We start from the raw sequence: 25,761 nt of genomic DNA, 5'->3' as shown, positions 1-25,761 counted from the left end.
ATGAAGAAATGGGACCCTACAGTCTTTTTTTTTTTTTTTTTTGAGACCGAGTCTCGCTCTGTCGCCTAGGCTGGAGGGCAGTGGCACAGTCTCGGCTCACTGCAAGCCCCGTCTCCTGGGTTCACGCCATTGTCCTGCCTCAGCCTCCCGAGTAGCTGGGACCACAAGCGCCCGCCACCGCACCCAGCTAATTTTTTGTATTTTTAGTAGAGACGGGGTTTCATCATGTTAGCCAGGATGGTCTCGATCTCCTGACATCGGGATCTGCCTGCCTCGGCCTCCCAAAGTGCTGGGATTACAGGCGTGAGCCACCACGCCCAGCGGGACCCTACAGTCTTTAATTCATATTTCCTCATCACTAGAAGGGCTGGATAGTTCCCACTCTATTTGCTTATTAGTTGTATTAATTCTTTTTTATAAAATGTGGATATTTTGCCTGTTTGTTTGGGAGTTAATGCTTTTTGTTTTTTGGAATCATGGTCTCTCTCTGTTGTCCGGGCTGGAGTGCAGTGGTACAATCACAGCTCCCTGAAGCCTCAATTTCTGAGCTCACGTGAGCCTCCTTGCCTCAGCCTCTATCATCAGAGCAGGCTGCTCGGTTATGGACTCAGAGTGCTGAGATTATAGGCGTGAGCCACCGTGCCCAACTCTTAATGCTTTTGTTCTCATTTTGTGTCAGCTTTATGTAACAAAGATCTCACACTGTCATCCTTATTGCAAATATTTTCCTAAGTCTATGTTCCTTTTATTTTGGTTCAAATGTATATAGTCAAATCAATGTCTTTGTAGATCCCCCATCCTCTCAAAGTTTAGAAATTATCCCTTTCTGTATGTTTAAAATAATTAAAATTTAAAAGGTATCTTCCCATAGAACTTTTGTAAATGAGAAATTTAAAAATTTCTCCTATTAAAAAATTGTTTTAATCCTTTTGTCTTCTGTTTATTACAGTAGTGCATGCTCATTAGAGAAAGCTTAGAAAAACATAGAAAAAAATAAAGAAGAAAATAAAAATCATCTGTATTCCAAGGACACGATGTTGGAAATATTGTATTATATTTGAGGCTGTGCCCCCGACTCCCAAGAGCACCACACATGTGTGCGCTCAGATGGGGCTCAGAGAACATAATCATCATTGGGAAATGCAGTTTTAAACCAGGCATGGTGGCTTATGCCTGTTAATCCCAGCACTTTGGGAGGGTGAGGTGGGAAGACTGTTCGAGCCTAGGAGTTTGAGGTCAGCCTGGGCAACATAAAGAGACCCCATGTCTACAAAAAATACAAAAATTAGCCAGGCGTGGTAGTGGGTGCCTGTGGTCCCAGCTACTCAGGAGGCTGAGGCAGGAGGATCGCTTGAGCCCAGGAGTTCAAGACTAGCCTGGCAGCATATATGACCCCATTTCTAGAAAAACATACAGAAGTAGCCAGGTGGCGTATGCCTACAATCCCATCTACTCAGGAGGCTAAGGCAGAAAAATCACTTGATCCCGGAAGTTTGAGGCTACAGTGAGCTGTGATCGTACCACTGCACTCCAGCCTGGGTGACAGCGTGAGACCGTCTCAAAAAACAAAAAACAAAAAAACCCATACAGTTTTATACCCAGCTCTTGACACTGAACGGCATACTGCAGTCTTCCTGCCTTTCAGTGAATGACAGGAGATGTGGGCCCAAAGAGATGTGTGTTCCAAGCTGCCAATCAGTTCCGCCAACACCATAAGAAATGCTTCTGCAAAGAGGAAGAACAGATGGTGGAGAAGCCACCAGAGCTGCAGTAAATGCAAGTCCTGGCTTCACTGCAAGCCACGTCTCTCGGGGTTTGTGTGCCCAATTTTCTGGACTGTGAGGTGAAGGCTGGAGTAATTTGGTGCAAGAGGTTGTTAGGAGTAACATTCAGTAAAAATCTGAAATGCAACACCCTGGGCCCCCATCCAAGAGGCCCGTGGGAGAGGGGCTGAGGGAGGCTCTGGAGTCGCTGCCTCGGGAGTTCTCTGTGCTCTGCCTCCTTGTCTGTGAAACGGGGTCACAGTTCCCACCACACAGGCCGGCTGTGAGGGTAGATGAGCTGACGGCCCTAAGGCTTGCAGAGCAGCGTCTGGCATAAAGTGTTTAATGCCCCGAGTGCACGTCAGCAATCGCCAGCTTTGTTTTTTGTTTGGTTTTAGAGACAGGGCCTTGCTCTGTTGCCCAGGCTGGAGTGCAGCAGTGCAGTCACAGCTCACTGAAGCTTCGAACTCCTGGGCTCCAGGGATCCTCCCGCTTCAGCTTCCTGAGTAGCTGGGGCCACAGGCGCACACCACCACGCCTGGCTAACTGTATTTTATTTATTTTTAAATTTTAGATTCAGAGGTGCACGTGCGGTTTTTTTCATCTTTTTGTAGAGATGAGCTCTTGCCGTGTTGGCCAGGCTGGTCTCGAACTCCTGAGCTCAAGTGATCCTCCCACTTCAGCCTCCCAAAGTGCTGGGATTACAGGCGTGAGCCACCACGCCCAGCCAGTATTTTCTTTTCTAATTTGGAAACAGTTTTGAATGCAACTGACAAAGAACAATTTTGGGTATTTTTCCAAGTCTCAGGAAAAAAAAGGTGAGTCCCTACCAGGCACAGAGATTGTGTAAGAACGATCTTAGCATCCTCAGATGCAGAGCACGACCACCCTGGTGCACACATCCAACAGGAGGCGGGGGCACTCGGAGCTGCAGGCGGGAGCGGGAGGGCCGGGGAGGCAAACGAGGAAGAGCTACCGCGGCGAGTTCACGGCCCGTGGAGCAGCGCGGGCCGTGTGTCCCAAGGCACTATGGCTGCTGAGCGGACGTCTCCTTAGGGTTCTGCAGTGGATCTTGCCCCGCGCTGAAGCCCCACTGGGCCACACTGTCCATCCCAGGAAAAGTGGCTGATCCGCAGGCTCAAAGAGAACCACAGAAATGCTGGTCTCAGAGGGGCTGGGGCTAAGGCCCCCATGTCACACACACAGCACCCATGCGGCTAGACATCTAGATTCTGCAACAAAATCCAGACGTATTTAAGAAGCCAGGCTACAAAACAGGCCACGGAAAAGCACACTTTGAAGGTTTCACATGAAAGCGTGTGCCCGGGCCAAGTGGAAGAGCTGCGTCCCACAGTCTTCAATGCGATGCTCCTTAAAATGCTGCTTCTCCCCAGGCAAGAGTGACTATTGGGTACTTTTAACAACACGCTTCAGTGAACCACAGCTCAGCTGGTCGGCGCTGGTACCTGCTGAGCACCTGGGGGAGCAGGTGTGTAGCCTGAGTGGGGCCAGGCACGGCACGCCAGCTGTCGGGACGGCTCACCTGACTGTGCGACGATGACACTGAACTGCAGGAGCTCCGGCGAGTGTGCGGTCCAGTCAAGGTGCGACGCGGTCACCCGCTCCAGGAGGGGACCAATGTGCTTGCGGTAGAGGTCCTGGCAGCTGCTGACACCCTCCACCATGGCCAGTGAGTCCATCGTCTCCTGTGCCTGGAGGTTACAAGTCAGAGACTGAGACAATTCCAACACTCAGGGCTCAAGCCTGCCTGCCTGCTGGGACTCACTATCCCCCTCACGCGTAAGAACCACACAGGCCGGGCCTGCCAGGATAATCGGGAGGGAGGCTGCCACAGGGAGCCCCGCCCAGGGTGCAGGAGAGCGAGAGCCGCGGGTGCAGGGCGAGACCCTGATCCCGTTCACACCAACGCCGTCTCTGCAGCGAATCATGAAGCAGGCACTGTGCACACTGGGATGCACACAGCACAGGTGGTCCTGGGGCTTACACGGACGTGGTGTCCGCCTGGGCAGGCAGGGCTCCTCTGAGGTGGTGAGGAGCAGAGAGGGGCGGGCAAGTGGCTTAAAGAGTTAAGCCCAGCAGACCAGACCTCCAGGTAAAAGTAACTGGGCAGACAGAGATGATAACCTTGGCCACCTTTTACTTTTAGCTGGCTGCTCTCCTTGGGGGCTTAGGAACAGAGGAAGGGCTGAGGCTCCCCGGTGGCCATTGCCCCAAGCCTGGAGTCTGAATCTGGGGCTACCTGGCTTCGTCCCCCATGACCAGCAGGCAAAGACTTTGCTTTTGCTGGTACCTCAGGCCCTAACAGTGACAGCATCTGCTGAGACACACGCCCCTTGGGAAGCTTGTTTTTAGAGGCCCCAAGAAGGAAGGGGAGGGCAGCAGCCTCCTCCACACCAGGTTCCCCATAGTACATTCAGGCCGTAAATCTCCCAGAGAGAGAATCTGCCGAGAGGGGCTGTCCACAGAGACAGAATGGGAGGAGGAACTAAGTCTCAGCTTCCAGAGAGGCAGACAGATACTGGGGCCTCCAGGGGCCCTAGAAGCCCATTAGAAGGTTGGGGTTAAAAGATTTTTGGGCATAATGGCCAGGTGCGGTGGCTCATGCCTATGATCCCAGCCCTTTGGGAGGCTGAGGCAGGTGGATCACCTGCAGTCAGGAGCTTGAGACCAACCTGGCCAACGTGGCAAAACCTTGTCTCTACTAAAAATATAAAAATTAGCCGGGTATGGTGGTGGGCGCCTGTAATCCCGGCTACTCAGGAGGCTGAGGCAGGAGAATCACTTGAACCTGGGAGGCAGAAGTTGCAGTGAGCCGAGATCGCGCCACTGCACTCCAGCCTGGGTGACAGAGCGAGACTCCACTGAAGAAAAAAGATGATTTTTGGGCATAAACAGGGAGCCCATGGGCGAGAAGTACTTCTGAACGCTGTGCTGCAATGAGAGCGGGAAATCACGGTATCTTCTCTCGACTCAGTCACACATGCACATGCACTTTTTTTTTTTTTTGGACGGAGTCTCGCTCTGTTGCTCAGCCCAGGCTGGAGTGCAGTGGCACGATCTTGGCTCACTGCAACCTCTGCTTCCCTGGTTCAAGCAATTTTCCTGCCTCAGCCTCCTGAGTAGCTGGGACTACAGGCACATGCCAACACGCCTGGCTAATTTTTTGTATTTTTAGTAGAGACGGGGTTTCACCATGTTGGTCAGGCTGGTCTCAAACTCCTGACCTCAGGTGATCCGCCCACCTCGGCCTCCCAAAGTGCTGGGATTACAGGCGTGAGATGCCACGCCCAGCGACATGTGCACTATTAAACCCTACTCAAGTGCGCAGGTTTAAAGGTTACGTCTTATTTCTTGTTTGCTTCTTTGCTGAAGACCCTAACATTAAACAGCTGTCTCCACTCCCTGATGCCAGAATACACTGGCAGCTGGAGAGCTGCCCCGAAGGCCGTTGCCCGGGGACTCACCCGCAAGGTTCTCAATCCCTGGTCTTTGCTGGTCAAGCACAGAGGGGATGCATAGGAGACAGTTCACCTCACTTAGAGATGCCTTCCAGCTGTGAGCTCCGCTAGGTCAAGCAGCAGCCACCACTGTCAGCCTTACCTTGTCCCTCAGGCCGGTAGCACCTGCGAGGGCCACTATTGTCAGCAGCACGTCCAAGAGCTGCAGGCTGGCCACGCCACAGTCCTCATGACACACAGACACCAGAGCCTGCACACACAGCAGCAGGCGCTCCAGGTAGAGGTCCTGGAAGAGACCGGCAGCACCGTCAGAGCTTGGTACAATTTGGTCGTGTCCCCACCCGAATCCCATCTTGAACTGTAGCTCCCATAATCCCCACGTATCCTGGGAGGGACCCTGTGGGAGGGAACTGAATCATGGGGGTGGGTCTTTCCCGTGCTGTTCTCTTGATATTAAGTCTCACGAGATCTGATGTTAGTATAAAGGGCAGTTCCCCTGCACACTCTCTCGCCTGCCGCCACGTAAGACGTGACTTTGCTCCTCCTTTGCCTTCCACCATGATGGTGAGGCCTGCACAGCCATGTGGAACTTTGAGTCCATTAAGCCTCTTTTTCTTTATAAATTACCCAGTCTGTGGTAGATCTTTATTAGCGACATGAGAATGGACTAATACAGGGCTCCCGCTCCGGCCCCAGTGTCAGGGCCGACAGAGCCCGCCCGGGGCTCCTAGTCTACGGCTCACGAGGGGCAGCAGCCATGGGAGAGCCCTTGCAGGGAGAGCCCCCAGGCGCTGGAGGTAGGGTGCCGGCATGTCAACCATAAAAGGGCGTGCTTGTTGATGGGAAAACTGAACACAGACTGGGAGCTAAGGAATCTGTGCTTATTTTGTGAAATGTGAACAGGCACTTGAGCTATGTGGTGGAGAAGCTGCGTTAGTGATGCACACGGCACCTGTGAGGGAAATGACGGCGCACTGCATTATCTGCTTTACAACATGCCCAAGTTCTCCCCGCCCTCCAAAGTTAAAAAGAAAAGTGGCCCCAGGCAGGCAGAACACGCATGCCAAGGGCTGGTCAGCGCTGAAGCTGGCAGTCGCTCTGCTGCCTGCCCCTCTTCTGTGCATTTTTGAGCTTTTCTATAACACCAAGTTTTAAGACAAATAAAATTCTATGGCTTAACATGTTTACTGATTGACGGGGAGGTGGAGTCTCAGCTCTGCACCTACGGCTGCGCTGGATGAATGGCTTCCCCTCCCGGCTCCAGCCTCATCCACTGTGAATCAGCCAGGCTCTGAAGCCCGCAACACAGCAGGCGTGTGCTGGACCCAAGAATTCCTAAGGCTTTGCGTGTGCTTACTTCTTTCTAAATAAATTTTAACTTATTTTTTAGAGACAGGGTCTTGCTCTGTCGCCCAGGCTGGAGTGCAGTGGTGCAATCGTGGCTAACTGCAGTCTCAAACTCCTAGCCTTAAGTGATCCTCCTGCCGTGGCCTCTCAAAGTGCTGGGATCATAGATAAGAACCACCACGCCTGGCCTGTATTTACTTCTTATAACGTCCCTCTAATGTCTATTTTATGTATGTTTCATAAAGTACAGAGTGAGTCAGGACCGTGGCCATGTAATTTAAACACGTGATTTATCAACAGTGTACATATATTGGAGGCCTATGCTTAAAAACTGTTTTTACTAATGGGGGTGCAAGTTCAAAGAAGTTTGGTAATTATTTGGCTAGACAATGGGTTGGTTCTAAATTTCCTAATCAGCTCTAAAACTCTAAGCCTCATTCCCCACTGACGTAAATCATGGAAGACTAAACAAAACACTCCCACTGTACTACAGCAGCGTTCTGTCCTTGCACCCCGGCCCCGCCCTGACCCACAGAAGACACAGAGCTGCATGGCTCCATCTCCCTCGGAGCTGGAGGAGCCGCGCGGCCCCGTCTCCCTCAGAGCTGGAGGAGCCGCGCGGCCCCGTCTCCCTCGGAGCTGGAGGAGCCGTGTGGCCCTGTCGTGGCCCCAACTCCCACAGAAGCCACAGATTTGTTTTTATTCCATTCCTGATTTTTCCCACAGCCCAATTTCTCTAAGGCCTGTACTAACTGGCTGACTTCTGAGGACAATATCTGGCTAGTTTCTAGAATGACCTGTCATGTACATTTCAGGAGCGATCATCTTTTCGGTTAAAATCAAAAGGCAGGTGCGTTTAGAAGACACAGCCCCTCCTGGCTGACCACACCTCCAAGCACAGGAACAAACAGGGAATCAGGCATCCTTTGCAGCAAGCACCACCCTCCTGCCACGAACGCAGCACCGTCTCTGAGGAAGTGACAAGACTTCACATTTATAGATTTCTCTATATTTGACCAGACAATTTTCAGTGTCTGCCTACATACAACGCACACACACAGAACGAAAAAGAAAAAAGATACAGCAGGAAATAATTCTCAGTATTTTTTGAAATACTATTTCAAACATTGTTTTCTGAAACAATGTTATCTAAGACTGCAAAGGTTTTTAATTCAGAAAAGCACAAGAGACTCCTATTTCAACAATGGCAATGGCATCCCACAACTGCTGGCTTCCCTGTGTGAGAAGCAAATCGGTGAGTTACCCATTTCCTCACTCTAGACACCTGTCCTAAACTCCTTCCCAGGAGACTCCAGTTCCCGTCTGTCGAGCTCTAGGGGACCTACTGGGCCCGAGACACCTGGAAGTACCTACTGCTAAAGCCAGATTTCCTGTGAACCCCAGGGCAGGGAGTGAAGCCAGGCTCAGTTTAGAATACATTTACACGGACTTCTCTGTTTAAACACGAGCTTTTAAAACAATTTCGGTTTGTTCTTGAAAGACATTTTCAACCTGTTCTCATAGCTACTGGAGAATAGCTGTGGGAAACATAATCGACTTCCCAAATGACATGACACAAAGCCCGGCCGGCCGCGGGAAGAGCACAGGGGCGTGGGAAGAGCACAGAACCACGGGCCTGATTCTGACTGAGACCTGAGTACCTTCACCCTTTCTTGCCAAAAATTTAAGTCTGTTAAGGAGTAAAATGGGGCCAGGTGCGGTGGCTCACACCTGTAATCCCAGCACTTTGGGAGGCCGAGGTGGGCTGATCACTTGAAGTCAGGAGTTCAAGACCAGCCTGGCCAACATGGAGAAACCCCGTCTCTACTAAAAACACAAAAATTAGCCGGGTGTGGTGGTGCATGCCTGTAATCCCAGCTACTTGGGAGGCTGAGGCAGGAGAATCGCTTGAACCTGGGAGGCGGAGGCTGCAGTGAGCCAAGATTGCGCCACTGCATTCTAGCCTGGGTGACAGAGCAAGACTCTGTCCCAAAAAGTAAATAAATAAAAATAAATAAAAAAAAATTACCCAGGTGTGGTGGTGCACACCTGTAGTCCCAGTGACTCAGGAGGCTGAGGTGGGAGGATCAACCTAAAACAAAAAAATAAAAACAAGAAAGGAGTGAAATGTACGTCTTGGGTTTTCACTGTGACTGGCTCCTTGGCCAAAGGGCCGACACACGTTCGCAGCCTGGAAGGTTGAGGCTGGCTTCCCAGGGGTCCCGTGTGACTGGACTTTGTCAGAAAGACGTCTCTGTTTGAAAGATTGTGATTAAATTTTTCCTCGATAAAACTGGAAGATGGGGAGCCAAATGCACAACTGTGGGATGACACAATTCCGTTTTCCTGTAACCAACATGGAGATGTGAAAACTACACTTTCTTTGCTATAAAGTTTGTGAGATAAGGATTTAGGCACCTGTGCACATTTTCAAGTTATGCCCTTCTAGGAAAAAATGCTTCTGGCTTGCAAATCTGTATACAGAAATCAAAGGCATCCTCATAACCCCTCGTGGGTGAAGGAAAGTGGAGAACTGACACACATTCGATGATGTGTTAAAAACGGGTTTTGGGAAAAGCTGAAGCATGGCTGAAATGCCATGAGCACGCGGCCCGGGCCCCTCCCCCGCTCCCTTCCTTACCCCAGCTCCGTTTCCTTCCCTCTATGTATTCCAGGAACTGCTTACAGGTTTCTTAAAACAGTTTACAAAAATGACTGTCAACAGCCCCACCTCTCGTTCTGAGGACGGAGAGGGAGCCTGACACAGGACAGGCCGGGCTGAGAGCACAGTGGCAAGTCCCCGTGCCCCAGGCCAGCTTTGGGGCCATAGAAGCCGCCGGAAACGATCGAGCCGGAGCAAGTGCCTCCAGGGGTGAGCTGAGGCCCGCCCTGCATGGCACGGCCGCCTGGTGGGGGCAGCCCTGTGTCCCAGAAATATCTGGGGTGCTGAGTCCAACACACACACTGACAGGGACCACTCACCTTCAAATGAAAGCAAAGCCATCACCTCTTCTTCCATGGAATACAACTATGGATTATTCCAAACAATTGAGCCCAACTACCCAGGCTGTTCCAGCTTCTGAGCTCAAGGATTTGCTGCTCAATTTAAAATTAAACAAATGTCTCTGGCAAATCCTCAGCTGGGCTGTGAGAAGCACAGATCGGAACGCCAGGCAGGGCTGATGGGGAACAGGCTGTCAGTGCCCCCTGAGGACGTGCGATCTGTGCAGGTACCCTGGGGACTGGATGGGATGGTGGACGTGCGACCACGCTCCTCAGGGGTGGGATGACGTGGACCCCACATCTACCCCCAGCAGCATGGGCCAGAGGGTCCCGGCCATGGACGCCTCCTGAGTCATCAAACACGTGAACTGTGGTGTGTGGCCAAGAAAGGGGCAGCAACGAATGTAAACGTGAGCGGCCGCCTGCAGCTGGGGCTGGGGCTGGGGCTGGAGCTCTGCACAGCCCAGGACGAGGCCCCGGAACAAGGGCTATCAGCGAGGGCACTCCGGTTACTGCAGGTGTTTCCGATGGCCCGGCCTGGCGGCACGGGGCGGACCCACAGACACGTCGCTGGGTGCTTCCGACAGCCCAGCCTGGCGGCACAGGGCAACCCACAGACATGTCATTACGATGGCTGACGGCCGGGCAGGGGAGGCTCCTCCTCTCCACTCCCGCATCTCCCAAGTGCTCTTACGTTTTCAGATGCCTGGCAGATGTGGGCCTGTGCCAGCTCTGTGGCGATGGCTGCCAGGTGCGGCTGGAGGGCTTCTCGGGGGCAACCCCGCATGGCGGAGGCCAGCACCAGGAGGCCGGAGGCAGAGGGCGTCTTCTTCAGCGTCGATAAGATCAGCTTCAGAAACACCTCAGGGCTGACAAACGTCCCGACGAGCTCTGCGGATCTGGTACACTGCGAGAAAGAAACATGAGAAAACTCAGAGCCAAACCCGAGGGTCTCAGCCGGGCTCCTGCTCTCGGCGCCGTGGCCTCCCAGACACAGCCGTGCACCAGACAGAGCCCCGTGTTAGGCAGAGTGAGTCCTTGGCACATGCTCAGAGCCCTCAGGAAAGGTACAAGGGTCCGGGTGTGGTCTCAGAACGTCCCTGAGGCCAGCGAGCCGGACACGCCTCCCAGGCAGTGAAGTCTGGCCCAAAGGATGCTGTGTCCCAGCTGTGGGGTTCACCACACACCCCTCATCGGACACCAGTGACCCAACCTTCCCATCACTAAGCTGATCAATACACACCAGCCCCTCTGTACCGTGGAAGCCCACAGTGGATCACACACTCACCAGCCCCTCTGCACCGTGGGATTCCACAGTGGACACCACACACCAGCCCCTCTGCACCGTGGGATTCCACAGCGGATCACACACACACCAGCCCCTCTGCACTGTGGGATTCCACAGCGGATCACACACACACCAGCCCCTCTGCACCATGGGATTCCACAGTGGACACCACACACCAGCCCCTCTGCACCATGGGATTCCACAGCGGATCACACACACACCAGCCCCTCTGCACCGTGGGATTCCACAGCGGATCACACACACACCAGCCCCTCTGCACCATGGGATTCCACAGTGGATCACACACACACCAGCCCCTCTGCACCGTGGGATTCCACAGCGGATCACACATACACCAGCCCCTCTGCACCGTGGGATTTCACACCGGATCACACACACCAGCCCCTCTGCACTGTGGGATTCCACAGTGGATCACACACACACCAGCCCCTCTGCACCGTGGGATTCCACAGCGGATCCCACACACGTCTCTCGTCCTCTCAGCCTCACCCCCGTGTCTCTTGCTCTCCTGTAGGTTCCACAGAGAACTACAGACAATTTTAAATTCACGGTAGTTTTTGAAAAGCAGAAACATGACATGTAAATAACATGGAACCTGGAACATTTACTTTAAATCAGTCACAATGATTTAGATTTTTTTGTTTTATCTGAGACAGCGTCTCATTCCGTCGCCCAGGCTGGAGAGTAGTGGCGCAATCATAGCTCACTGAGGCCTCAAACTCCCGGGCTCAAGCGATCCTCCCACCTCAGCCTCCCGGGAGCTGGAACCACAGGTGCACGCCACTACGCTGGGCTAGTAACAGTGACCTGGACCACTAGAAGTAAAAGCTGCTGGCCAGGCTACCTTGCAATGGAATTTAAGGTTCAAGATGAGGATATTTTCAACTGAAATCTCAAGTCAAAGCTTTAGTTGTTCTCCTGAGCACTAGGAAGCATCCTTGTGAGGTGGGTGTGAAGTCCTCATGGTGGTGACTGTCAGCGCAGGGCGTGGCCCGGCCTAGTGAGGAGGAGAGGCCTGAGCATGGGACTCCCTCGTGCGTACCCAGTGGTGACGAGGCGATAACCAGCAGCCGAGTGTGGACAGGGAGTGAGAAAGAGGACTGCACCAGGGACACCACTCGCAGGACACCCGAAGCTGTGCCATCATCCCCCGTCTGGGTGCTCCCACAGCCCCTGCGAGGCCTGGAAGGGCCCTCAGGACAGTCCAGATGTCAATGCTGAACGCTGGGCATCTCGGTCCTGTGTCAGCAGCCCGGGCCCTGTCTGTCTGGTGCACGGCACGTCTACACAACACGTCTACACAACATGCACCTGGCACTGCACCCCCGAGTGTGCTTGAAAATGAGCATGAAGGGTTCACCCTCAACACGCTGTTACCTACGGGCACAGAAAGGAGATCAGTTGTTCCCAGGGGCTGGGTGTGGGGAGGGCCTGCGGCCCGGGGGTGAGGGGAACGCTGTCTTGGCTACAGTACAGCCTCGGGCCCCGCACACCACAGAGGCGGGATCTTAAGCTCGAGTTACAGCTCCGCGACCACGACTGGAATACGGCCACTTACACTTTGGACCACGGCTGCCTCCTCGTCGGTGCAGGCCTGGAACAGGGTCCGGAGGACGACCTCCAGGTGCTGCGTGGCGTGGTCCTCGGCATGCAGCAGCAGCACTGGGAGCAGCTGTGCCGACTTCACTCGGGTCCCCACCACCCAGTCGGTGATGTCGTGGCACAGGGCAGGGAGGATCTTGGAGAGGTTCCTGAAGACGAGCTCCCGGCAGCCCAGCACAGGGCGGCGCTCTGGAACGAAAAAGGGAAAGAAGAATGAGAAATTCACAAGCAAAACCTCAACAACTCAAGTTACCGCACATCACATTTAAGGGACACCTGTGAGTTTCAACCTCACCATTTCAAAACAAGTCTTGGGGTGGACGCAAAGCTGACAAATGCCCCGTCGTTCAGAACATTCACAGAGGCGGTGCACGGCTGCAGTCCTAGCCCTGTGGAGGCCAAGGCAGGTGGATCACTAGAGCCCAGGAAGTCAAGACCAGCCTGGGCAACATGGCAAAGACCCCATCTCTATAAAAAACAGGAAGATTAGCCAGGTGCCGTGGTGCATGCCTGTGGTCCCAGCTACGCAGGAGTCTGAGGTGGGAGGATTGCGCCACAGCACTCCAGCCTGGGTGACAGAGCGAGACCCTGTCTCAAAAAACAAACATTTAGAGCCACACAGAGATGCAAACAACACACTTGCCACACGTGCTGACGTGTATGATCAGAGAGACACGCCTGCGAAGCCGTCCCCCTATGATCAGAGAGACACACGCCTGCGAAGCCATCGCCATATGATGAGAGACACGCCTGCGAAGCCGTCCCCCTATGATCAGAGAGACACACGCCTGCGAAGCCATCGCCATATGATGAGAGAGACACGCCTGCGAAGCCGTCCCCATATGATCAGAGAGACACACGCCTGCGAAGCCATCGCCATATGATGAGAGAGAGACGCCTGCGAAGCCGTCGCCATATGATCAGAGAGACACGCCTGCGAAGCCATCCCCATATGATGAGAGAGACACGCCTGCGAAGCCATCGCCATATGATGAGAGAGACACGCCTGCGAAGCCGTCGCCATATGATCAGAGAGACACGCCTGCGAAGCCGTCCCCATATGAGAGAGACACGCCTGCGAAGCCGTCCCCATATGATCAGAGAGACAAGCCTGCGAAGCCATCGCCATATGATGACAGAGATACGCCTGTGAAGCCGTCCCCATATGATGAGAGACACGTCTGTGAAGCCGTCCCCATATGATCAGAGAGACATGCCTTCGAAGCCATCGCCATATGAGAGACACGGCTGCGAAGCCATCGGCATGGTGGGGGTGACAGCTGCGTCCTTCGCCCGGCTTCCTCTGCTCCTCTGCACTGCAGCCCCCAAGGCACCCCGGCACCCCTGGATCTGTCCCGTGACTGAGCTGCACTTTCTAGAGCCTGACACAAGTGGAAGCCTCTCGTTCACTCTCCTCCCTTCTCCGCTTCTTTCACTCTGCATCGTTTTCTGAGGCCCGCCTGTGCCCGCTCCTTTCTGAACCTGGGAAGTGGCCTGTTCTGGGGAGATGCCAGTTTAGTGCCCGCTCCTCTGTGGAGAAGCATTCAAATGGTGTCCAGGGCAAGTCTGTGTGGCCTGGGCTTTCACTGTGCCGGGACAAATACCAGCTGTGGAAGGGCTGGGCCACAGGGAAGGTGCACGTTTAACTGTTTTAGAAACTGTCCAACCATTTTCCAAAGTGTTTGAGCCAGTCCGCGCTCCTTCCCACTCTCAGCGGCACGCGGTACGCTCAGTCTTGAATTGAAAGCAGTCCGAGAGGCACAGTGGCATTTCCGTGTGCTTTTCCTTTGCATTCCCCGATGACTAACGACGCCGAGCGTCTTCTTCACAGGCTTGTTTGCCGCCTATCTTCCCTGGTAAAGGGTCTTTCCAAATTGTTTTCTGCCCATTTAAAAAAATGGATTGTTTTCCTGCTGAGTTTCAAGAGCTCTTCCTATACTCTGGAGATAAATCCTTACATACATCATCTCCAAACATCTCAGTCTTTGGTTTGTCTTTTCGTTTTTTCAACAGGCCTTTGAAAAAGCAGAAGTGTTCATTTTGATGAAGTCCACACATTGCTTTACCCTGTTACAGAGCGGTCTTTTGAGGACGCACCCAGGGAAGCGTGGCCCGGCCCACGGTCACGAAGCCTTCGTCCTAGCTCTGCGGTCTTTTGAGGATGCACCCAGGGAAGCGTGGCCTGGCCCGCGGTCACGAAGGCTTCGTCGTCACTCTGCAGTCTTTTGAGGATGCACCCAGGGAAGCGTGGCCCGGCCCGCGGTGACAAAGGCTTCGTCATCACTCTGTGGTCTTTTGAGGACGTATCCCGCGAAGTGTGGCCCGGCCCGTGGTCACGAAGGCTTCGTCGTCACTCTGCAGTCTTTTGAGGATGCACCCAGGGAAGCGTGGCCCGGCCCGCGGTGACAAAGGCTTCGTCATCACTCTGCGGTCTTTTGAGGACGTATCCCACGAAGTGTGGCCCGGCCCACTGTCACAAAGGCTTCGCCCTAGCTCTGCGGTTCTGGGCTTTACCTTCAGATCCCTGACGCATCTGGGGTTAATTTTTTGACTCCAAGTTCACTTTCTGGTGTATGAGTGATCCTATCATTTACAGTATCCTTATTAAAAGATGCCATTAAATGGTCTTTGAGCCTTCATCAAGTCAGTGGTCCGCGTGCGGGCGCCTGTTTCTGGACGCTCTCGTTCTGCTCATCGGTCTGAAAGCCAACACCACGTGGCCCCATGACTGTGGTTTTGTGAGTCTTGCACCCAGGACCTGCTGCCATTCAGCTTCACTCCTCCCCAGTGTTTCGGCAGCTGTGGGTCCTTTGCACGCCCACGAGAATTTCACAATCAGTTTGTCGATTTCTACAGAAAAGCCTTCAGGGACTTTGATGAAAAGATTCTGATCTTCAAAATTCAGGCCGGGCACGGTGGCTCATGCCTGTAATCCCAGCACTTTGCGAGGCCAAGGCAGGCGGGTCACCTGAGGTCAGGAGTTCAAGACCACCCTGACTAACATGGTGAAACCCCGTCTCTACTAAAAATAGAAAAAATAAGCCGGTCGTGCTGGCGAGCGCCTGTAATCCCAGCTACTCAGAGGCTGAGGCAGCAGAATCACTTGAACCCAGGAGGTGGGGGTTGCAGTGAGCCAAGATTACACCACTGCACTCCAGCCTGGGCGACAGAGTGAGACTCCATCTCAAAAAAAAAAAAAAAAAAAAATTCAGAACAACTGTAAAGATAGAAATGAAACCATGATATGTCAGGATTTAAAGGGTCTTTTTCTATTTTTAGAGAAAGGGTCTCACTCTGTCACCCAGGCTGGAGTGCAGTGGTACGATCACAGCTCACTGCAGCACTGACCTTCTGGGCTTAAGTAACCCTCCTGCCTCGGCCTCTCAAAGTGCTAAGATTACAGGTGTGAGCCACTGCATCCAGGCTAAAGGGTATGTTTTAATAAGAACAGCTTGTACCAGGACACCCCATTTTTAACCTTTTTCTGGTTATTTTTCTGTTTTTATCCTGTATTATGGAATTAGTTCCAAATAATTAAAATTCTGCTGGCTGTTTAAATGATCCTGTCATCATTTTGTAAAAAACAAAAAAGCCAGGGTGCAAACACACCTCTCTTCGTTTTTTTTTGAAATGCAGTCTCGCTCTGTCATCCAGGCTGGAGTGCAATGGTGCGATCTCAGCTCACTGCAACCTTCACCTCCTGAGTTCAGGCAATTCTCCATTCTCATGTCTCAGCCTCCTGAGTAGCTGGTACTACAGGTGCATGCCACCACACCTGGCTAAGTTTTGTATTTTTAGTAGAGATGGGGTTTCACCATGTTGGCCAGCCTGGTCTTGAACTCTTGACCTCAGTATTACAGGCATGCGCCACCACGCCCAGCTGCACCTTTCTTCCTGATGACGATCCGCTCTGGAAAGTTTGCAAAATGAGAGATGCGTGACCAGGAACAGCCGGGGAGGGGTCTGCTGACAGCTGAACAGAGCTTTGTGGGCACCTGGGCTTCTGGGTGTTTCCAAAGAAATACTGGCCGGTGCTGGGCAGGGGTACGCAAGGCCTGGACACAGGCTGGGACTGGTTTAAGGCCTGTTAGGAACTGGGCCCCACAGCAGGAGGTGAGCAGATGGTGAAGGAGTGTGACCGCCTGAGCTCCACCTCCTGTCAGATCAGTGGCGGCATGAGATTCTCAGGGGAGGGCAAACCCTCCTGTGAACTGTGCGTGTGAGGGACCTGGGTTACGTGCTCCTTATGAGAATTGAATGCCTCATGATCTGAGGTAGAACAATTTCAACCTGAAACCACCCTGCTCCCTGCCCCACCCATGGAAAAATTGTCTTCCACAAAACCAGTCCCTGGTGCCAAAATGGCAGGGGACCGCTGGTACAGTCAAGCGTTGCTGAACGGTGGGGGGTGCGTTCTGGGAAACACGTCATTGGGTGATTTCGTTGCCGTGTGAACGTACTACAGTGACGTACACAAGCCTAGATGGCGCAGCCTCCTACGTGCCTGGCTGTGCGATGCCTGGGCTGTGCGATATAGCCTGTGAGGCTCCTAGGCCACGAACCTGTGCAGCAGGTGACTGCACTCAACACGCAGAAACTGTAGCACAGACAGTGAGTGAGTGTTTCCAAACACAGAAAAAGGAGAAACACAATGTTACTATCAGAGGGGACCACCCTCCTCCACGTGGTCCTTATGGACTCAAACGCTGTTACTCAGCACATGCTTCTGAACATGGTTCTGAAGCCTGTTTTTCTATACTTAATATTATAGCAGACATAGGCTGGGCACCGTGGCTCACACCTGTAATCCTAGCACTTTGGGAGGCCAAGGCGGGTGGATCACCTGAGGCCAGGAGTTGGAGACCAGCCTGACTGATATGGTGAAACCCTGTCTCTACTAAAAACACAAAAATTATCCAGGTGCGGTGGTGCGCGTCTGTAATCACAGCTACTCGGGAGGCTGAGGCAGGACAGTAGTTGCCTGAATCTGGGAGGCGGAGGTTGCAGTGAGCTGGGATCGCACCACTGCACTCCAGCCTGGGTGACAGAGCAAGTCTGCCTCAAAAAAAGAAAAAGAAGTTCCTTCTTCTGTAACACCCCCGGCTAACTCAGAGTGGGCCAATGCTCGTGGGACCTTGCTGGCTTCAAACAATGTTAACCAGCTTTTCCAGCCCATTTGCACAACGTAACGTTTCTGACAATTTCCATTCAAGCTTCCATCTTTCCAAACACATGGATGAAACACACAAGCAAAGCAGAATGGGTGCGAGCTCCAAGGCAGAACAGGAGAATGAAGGGGGAAGGCTGTCACGTGGCAGCGTTCATCCACAGGGAACCCTGCTCACTTCTAAGTCAGGCTTTAAGAAGAGCCAACTCTGTCCTCCTGTGTGAAAAGCTCTGGCCGGCCACTCACCAGCATCGAGACGCTTTCCTTTACGCTCAGGCATTGCCAAGGAAAACAATCTTAACAGAGGGATAATCTCAAAGCAGAAAGGACTCTGGAGCCGCTGTCACCAAGCCATCTGCTGCTGGCGGCTGGCAGTGTGATTGTCAGATACACACCAGGCGTGAACGTGTGCTTCCGTGTGAGAAGGGCACTCTGTTCAGGGAAATGACCGACTTGAGGACGGTAAGTGGTGCCCTCCCAACCCTCCCAGCACGAAGCTTGGTTTTTAAGGCGGAGGTTTCAGTGCTGTTAATGGAAACTTACGCTGTGTCTGCAAAGCTAACAACAAATTATATGGTACGAATTATATTTCCACATGGTGTGTACCTTATTTTCTTAGGAAACAGGAAAACTGGACTCTGATGAAACTTCAGATCCAGGCCCATGTGAATTCCTTATTGATAGGTCATTACCTCTGAGCACCGTCTGCATTAGCAGTGGTCTGAAAATATTACCGAACTTTGCCTGTTCACGCACTCGGCAACCCAACCACACGGTTGGACTGTCCGTTCTTGCTGGTAAGACAGGACACGCAGCCACTCATCAGCTCGCTGGGTGCTCACAGAGCCACTAAGCCTGGCTCACCGCCTCTGGGTGCAGAGGATGGCAGCAGACAGACTGGCCCCTGGAGCGAGCGGTGAGGTGAGCACAGGGCCCGAGTCCACCGAGGAGAAGGAGCACCTCCACTGTGGTAGGGGGCAGGAGGAAACAGAGCAGGGGGGATGGGGGCGGCAGCTGCCGGAGCTCTGAGGAGAGGAGCGGGAGCTGGAGCTGAGGCCTGGCTGTGGAGCCTAAAACAGTCTGATGAGGGACCTGCATCCAGAGCACGGAAGGGGTCCTCAAACTCCGCACTCAGAAACACAGAACTCGATTTAATGGATGGCAGTTCTGAATGGCCACCAAAGACGACGTACGGGTGCACAGAAGCACACCACAGCACAGGAAAAGGCCCCAATGTCCTCTCATTAGGGAATCGCAAAGTAAAACACCATGGGCCACCACTGCACACTAGCCGGACACGCTGAAACCAGCAAACCCCACCAACACCGTGGGCCACCACTGCACACCAGCCGGACACGCTCAAACCAGCAAACCCCACCAACACCGTGGGCCACCACTGCACACCAACTGGACACACTGAAACCAGCAAACCCCACCAACCCTGTGTGACAACACTGCACACCAGCCGGACACGCTGAAACCAGCAAACCCCACCAACACCGTGGGCCACCACTGCACACCAGCCGGACACGCTCAAACCAGCAAACCCCACCAACACCGTGGGCCACCACTGCACACCAACTGGACACACTGAAACCAGCAAACCCCACCAACCCTGTGTGACAACACTGCACACCAGCCGGACACGCTGAAACCAGCAAACCCCACCAACACCGTGGGCCACCACTGCACACCAGCCGGACACGCTCAAACCAGCAAACCCCACCAACACCGTGGGCCACCACTGCACACCAACTGGACACACTGAAACCAGCAAACCCCACCAACCCTGTGTGACAACACTGCACACCAGCCGGACACGCTGAAACCAGCAAACCCCACCAACACCGTGGGCCACCACTGCACACCAGCCGGACATGCTGAAACCAGCAAACCCCACCAACACCGTGGGCCACCACTGCACACCAGCCGGACACACTGAAACCAGCAAACCCCACCAACACTGTGGGCCACCACTGCACACCAACTGGACACACTAAAAACAGCAAACCCCACCAACCCTGTGTGACAACACTGCACACCAGCTGGATACACTAAAAACAGCAAACCCCACCAACCCTGTGTGACAACACTGCACACCAGCCAGACACGGTAAAAACAGCAAACCCCACCAACACCGTGGGCCACCACTGCACACCAGCCGGACACGCTGAAAATAGCAAACCCCACCAACACCCTGTGCCACCATTGCACACCAGCTGGACACACTAAAAACAGCAAACCCCAATACCGTGTGTCAACACTGGACACCAACACCGTGTGCCAACACTGCACACCAACCGACACACTAAAAACAGCAAACTCCACCCCACACGCTGGCCTGACTGCAGCACCTGGAAATCTCATCCAGTGCCCGTGGGGATGCGACATGGCGCGAAGGGTGTGGAAAACAGTGTGTGGTGAGTTTCTAACAAAGTAAGGACTGTACCTATGGCCCAGCAACCCCACGCCTGAGTGTTTATCCAATAAAACACTCTCACAAAAACCAGTCTGCAAGTGTTTACATCAGCTTTACCTGTGATGGCCAAAAACTAGAAAGGACCCGAATATGCCCCTGCTGGTGACCAGATGGTCCATCCACGGGAGGGAACGTGACTCACGCGAAGAAGGAAAGTGCTGCAGACACAGGTGCCATGCATGAGCCTCCGACACAGAGAGGAAAGAGCAGACGCCAGCGGCCACGCTCCCACAACCTCATGCAAGTGACATCCTGGAAGGGACACACAGGACGCAGCCCACAGCAGCAGTGCCAGGGCCCATGAGCAGTTCTGGGCGGTGGAGATGCCCACATGCAGGGGACAGAGGCGGTGCTGCTCAAAACTCACAGAGCTGCAGCCCTGAAGGGTGAATGCAGCGTGGTCCCGGGGGAAGGGCTATCACAGACCCTGGGCAGGGTGGGCAGGGGGTGGCAGGATGGTAAGGACGTCACAGACCCTGGGCAAGGTGGGTGGGGGGTGGCAGGACCGTAAGGAGGGCGTCACAGTCCCTAGGCACGACGGGCGGGGAAAAGGGACGACACAGAGCCTGGGCACGGCGGGCGGGGGAAAGGGATGACACAGACGCTGGACAGGGCAGGACGGTAAGGAGGGCGTCACAAACCCTGGGCATGTTGGGTGGGGGGCAGCAGGACGGTAAGGAGGGCGTCACAGGCCCTGGGCATGTTGGGTGGGGGGCAGCAGGACGGTAAGGAGGGCGTCACAGGCCCTGGGCATGTTGGGTGGGGGGCAGCAGGACGGTAAGGAGGGCGTCACAGGCCCTGGGCATGACGGGCGGGGGAAAGTGAGGACACAGAGCCTGGGCCCAGCGGGCAGGGGGGGGCAAGACAGTAAGGAGAGCGTCACAGACCCTGGGCACGGCAGGCGGGGGGTGGCAGGACGGCAGGGAGGGTGTGTGCTTGGCAATACAGGGCCAGTGCAAACTTCTGAGGAAGAGACTCAAAAAATCTTCTGATCTGACATTTAAAATACTGTAGAAAAAAATCTGAGAAATCGTATTTAAAATTCAAATCTACAGACTGGAGAAAAGTAATTTGAGGAGAAAATGCCAAAAATCTAACACAACGTAGTGCTTATGCGACTGACTGACTGTCATTCAATTCTAAATTTACTCTGCTCCACTTGAAACAAAAGTTCTGTGCCTAACGACACTCTCTACGCCTCGGCACGGATAACTAACTGTGTTTTTGTAATTATCAGTCAGGAACATTCCCAAGTCCTTGAACCAATTCTAAATCAGGCAGCCTCCAAAGAGCCTGTGTTTCCACCACAGGGAGGAAGCCCCTTCCGGGAACCTACTAGCAGGGCCAGACAGTTGGCGGGGTAGGGCAGGATGTGTATGTACATGTGTACATGTATGTGCACACACACGTACGTGTGATATGCATGTACACACGTGTGCAGATGTGTATATGTGTGTACACGTGTGTGAGGATAAGTGTGTACGTGTGTGAGGATATACATGTACACGTGTGTGCACAGGTGTGTATGTGTATACGTGTGCAGATGTGTATATGGGTGTGCACATGTGCGAGGATGTGTGTACGCGTGTGACGATATGCATGTACACACGTGTGCATATGTGCACGTGTGTGCGATATGCATGTACATGTGTGCACAGGTGTGTGTGTACATGTGCATGCATGTGAATATGTGTGTGTGTGTGTATGCGTGTGCGCCTCGCTCTGTCTTCTCCCTTACCGCATTCCAAGGATCATAGATCGTACCTTCCAGAAACAGTCCCCCCGACCCCCCGCCTCCCTCTCCGGTGCACAGCGGGAAGGACTGGACCCTCCTGGGTCTTGGGGACTGCCATTCCTGCCCCACTGACACCTGAAGGGTCTTCCACTGGTTTCTCAGTGAGCACGTGGAGAACGATTTGCCATGCAGCTTGGGCTCCGTGTAGCATGAATTAGGCAGACAGGCTGGACCCTCTCTAAGGAGCAGCATTTCCTCATTGGTGAGGAGAGCCCAGCTGAAATCACCAGGAGCAAACAACCCACAGCTTAGCTTAAAGGTCCGACCAACGCAGAAGCCCACCACAGGCGGCTGGAGGGAGAGGCACTGACAGAGCACCACAGCACGCGTGGGATTCCACTCCCATCACTGATGCAGAGACAAGAGTGTGAGTTCAACAGTGAGTTCGTAAGTGGCCTCGTGTCTAAGTTCCACATTTTAAAACAGATTGAGTGGTCCAGGCGTGGTGGCTCACCTCTGTAATACCAGCACTTTGGGAGGCTGAGGCAGGCGGATCACCTGAGGTCTGGAGTTCGAGACCACCCTGACCAACATGGCGAAACCCTGTCTCTATTAAAAATACAAAATTAGTTCTAGATCCCTGAGGAATCGCCACACTGACTTCCACAATGGTTGAACTAGTTTACAGTCCCACCAACAGTGTAAAAGTGTTCCTATTTCTCCACATCCTCTCCAGCACTTGTTGTTTCCTGACTTTTTAATGATTGCCATTCTAACTGGTGTGAGATGGTATCTCACTGTGGTTTTGATTTGCATTTCTCTGATGGCCAGTGATCATGAGCATTTTTTCATGTGTTTTTTGGCTGCATAAATGTCTTCTTTTGAGAAGTGTCTGTTCATGTCCTTCGCCCACATACCATTTGACCCAGCCATCCCATTACTGGGTATATACCCAAAGGACTATAAATCATGCTGCTATAAAGACACAGGCACATGTATGTTTATTGCAGCTCTATTCACAATAGCAAAGACTTGGAACCAACCCAAATGTCCAACAATGATAGACTGGATTAAGAAAACGTGGTACATATACACCATGGAATACTATGCAGCCATAAAAAATGATGAGTTCATGTCCTTTGTAGGGACATGGATGAAATTCAAAATCATCATTCTCAGTAAACTATCGCAAGAACAAAAAACCAAACGCCGCATATTCTCACTCATAGGTGGGAATTGAACAATGAGAACACATGGACACAGGAAGGGGAACATCACACTCTGAGAACTGTTGTGGGGTGAGGTGAGGGGGGAGGGATAGCATTAGGAGATATACCTAATGCTAAATGACGAGTTAATGGGTGCAGCACACCAGCATGGCACATGTATACATATGTAACTAACCTGCACATTGTGCACATGTACCCTAAAACTTAAAGTATAATAATAATAAAATAAAATAAAAATAAATAATAAATAATAAAAAAATAAAAAAAGAACTTATTTATGTAACCAAATACCACCTGTTCACCAAAAACCTATTGAAACAAAAATAAATAAATAAATATAAACTAAAAATACAAAATTAGCTGGGCGTGGTGGTGAGTGCCTGTAATCCCAGCTACTTGGGAGGCTGACGCAGGAGAATCGCTTGAACCTGGAAGTTGGAGGTTGCAGTGAGCCGAGACTGAGTCATTGCACTCCAGCCTGGGCAACAAGAGTGAAACTCTGTCTCAAAAAAAAAAAAAAAAAAAGATCGAGCGTTCTCACTGGCTTCACTCCATCAGAACAAACCTTGCTTGCAACTAATTTCTGTGCCTTTTCCAAACATGTGTGCTTTCCCTGTACAGCAACTGTGCAGCGTGGGGTGGGGCTGCAAGGTGGAGAATGCCGACCGGGAGGAAAAGCAACCCTGTGATTCACAGGCTCGGGAGGAGCCACGGCTCTGTAGGCGTGGATTTAACAGGGCACCAAACATCAATACCAGACATGAGAAACTGTTTTTTGTTTGTTTGTTTGTTTTAAACGGGGTCTCACTCTGTCACCCAGGCTGGAGTGCAGGGGTGTGGTCATAGCTCACCGCAGCCTCAACTTCCTGGACCCAAGCGATCCTCCCACCTCAGCCTCTGGAGCAGCTGGGATACAGGCATGCACCACCACGCCCAGCTAATTTGTTTTGTTTTTGTTAAAATATTTGTAAAGTAGGAGTCTTGCTGTGTTGCCCAGGTTGGTCTCCAACTCCTGGGCTCAGGTGATCCTCCCACCCTGGCCCCCCGCGTAGTTGGGATACAGGCGTGAGCTACTGTGCCCGGCCAAGAAGCTACTTTAATGCTGTATTTGACGGAATACATTTCCCTCCAGGACCTGACCCCGGGCTACTTCAGCGCCTCAACTAGGCCAGGGAGGTGACATGGGAAGTAAGTTGAGACTGCAAATCTCTCAGGGCATCTGATTTGGGCTGTGCATCTGATTTGAGCTGGGAATGATTGATTTGAGCTGGACATGATTGATTTGAGCTGGGCATCTGATTTGAGCTGGGCATGATTGATTTGAGCTGGGCATGATTGATTTGAGCGGGGCATGTGATTTGAGCTGGGCATGATTGATTTGAGCTGGGCATGTGATTTGAGCTGGGCGTCTGATTTGGGCTGGGCATCTGATTGATTTGAGCTGGGCATCTGATTTGAGCTGGGCATGATTGATTTGAGCTGGGCATGATTGATTTGAGCTGGGCATGTGATTTGAGCTGGGCATGATTGATTTGAGCTGGGCATGTGATTTGAGCTGGGCGTCTGATTTGGGCTGGGCATCTGATTGATTTGAGCTGGGCGTCTGATTTGGGCTGGGCATCTGATTGATTGGAGCTGGGCATCTGATTTGAGCTGGGCATGATTGATTTGAGCTGGGCATGATTGATTTGAGCTGGGCATGTGATTTGAGCTGGGCATGATTGATTTGAGCTGGGCATGTGATTTGAGCTGGGCGTCTTGATTTGGGCTGGGCATCTGATTGATTTGAGCTGGGCGTCTGATTTGAGCTGGGCATGTGATTTGAGCTGGGCGTCTGATTTGAGCTGGGCATCTGATTTGGGCTGGGCATCTGATGTGGGCTGCGCTTCACCTACTTTTTGTCCTCGTCAGTGCGTATCTATTATTTACTTTTAAGAAGATGCCCCGCAGATAGACTCAAGTGATGAAAGCACTTGACCGCGTGCAAGTGGAAGACACTCAGCCCCGCGAGAGGAGGGCGGTTTCTAAACAGATGAAGCCCAAGGTGGGCCGGCGGCGTGGCAGAGCAAATGTGTTGGGGCTGGACCTGGGAGCCTCCACTCAGACTCAGCCAGACCTGCTGGGCTCTGCGGAGAGATGCACATGGGTGCCCGCAACATGGCCAGGGAGCAAATGTGGGAAGGGCGGGGAGGCCACGCAGCAGGAGACCCTGTTCCCAGGTTGGAAATCATGTGGAACCATGAAGAAGACCTCACCTCACCCGTGGCCCTCGTGCTGAGCTCTGTCTTGGTGAAATGATAAGCCCCTCATCCCACTGTTTCCAACACCCCCCAACCACCAGCAGAGCTGCCCAGGAACCCAGAGTTCAATGCACCCTTGTGTGCACAGCCAACGGAGGGGGGCGGACACCATCTGGCAGTGCGCTGGACACTTTCAGAAGCCCACAGCCTTTTTAAAATAAAGCTGGCCAGAGGAGGGGAGAGGTCACTGCAAGGCACATGGGGGCTCTCCAGATGCTGAGGAGAGACGTGCTCTGCCCAGGATGCAGGAGCCCCAGCCCAGTGGGGAGACGCCTGCACCTTTCCGACGCGGCCGCCTGGGCTCAGAACTGCAAGAGCTGAAGCTTCCTTCAGGCTCAGAAGCCCCTT

General features: G+C 52.9%; 1 protein-coding gene across 3 annotated transcripts in view, besides 1 other annotated feature; it reads right to left on the bottom strand.

Moving 5' to 3' along the window:
• DNAAF5 (dynein axonemal assembly factor 5) overlaps window positions 1-25,761 on the bottom strand; it is a 59,777-nt gene that overhangs the window by 19,195 nt on the left and 14,821 nt on the right. For all 3 annotated transcript variants that reach the window (NR_075098.2, NM_017802.4, XM_024446813.2), the window contains exons 5-8: window positions 12,460-12,692; window positions 10,287-10,499; window positions 5,385-5,528; window positions 3,307-3,475 (exon numbers count right to left, since the gene is read on the bottom strand). Coding sequence is in view for 2 of the 3 variants with exons in the window: in NM_017802.4 (NP_060272.3) it covers window positions 3,307-3,475; window positions 5,385-5,528; window positions 10,287-10,499; window positions 12,460-12,692 (759 nt within the window). In the remaining variant the exon portion in view is untranslated. The remainder of the gene's footprint in view (window positions 1-3,306; window positions 3,476-5,384; window positions 5,529-10,286; window positions 10,500-12,459; window positions 12,693-25,761) is intronic.
• Window positions 14,257-15,456: an enhancer, noted in NCBI's record as "BRD4-independent group 4 enhancer chr7:791462-792661 (GRCh37/hg19 assembly coordinates)". NCBI's record gives its function as "activates an origin of replication core promoter dependent on BRD2, P300/CBP, MED14 and CDK7 cofactors, and independent of BRD4, by STARR-seq in HCT116 cells {active_cell/tissue: HCT116}" and the evidence as "EXISTENCE:reporter gene assay evidence [ECO:0000049][PMID:35650434]".

Source organism: Homo sapiens, chromosome 7 (genome assembly GCF_000001405.40).
Source record: "Homo sapiens chromosome 7, GRCh38.p14 Primary Assembly".
NCBI classification, from domain to species: Eukaryota; Metazoa; Chordata; class Mammalia; order Primates; family Hominidae; genus Homo; species Homo sapiens.
This window is presented reverse-complemented; position numbering and strand designations above follow the sequence as displayed.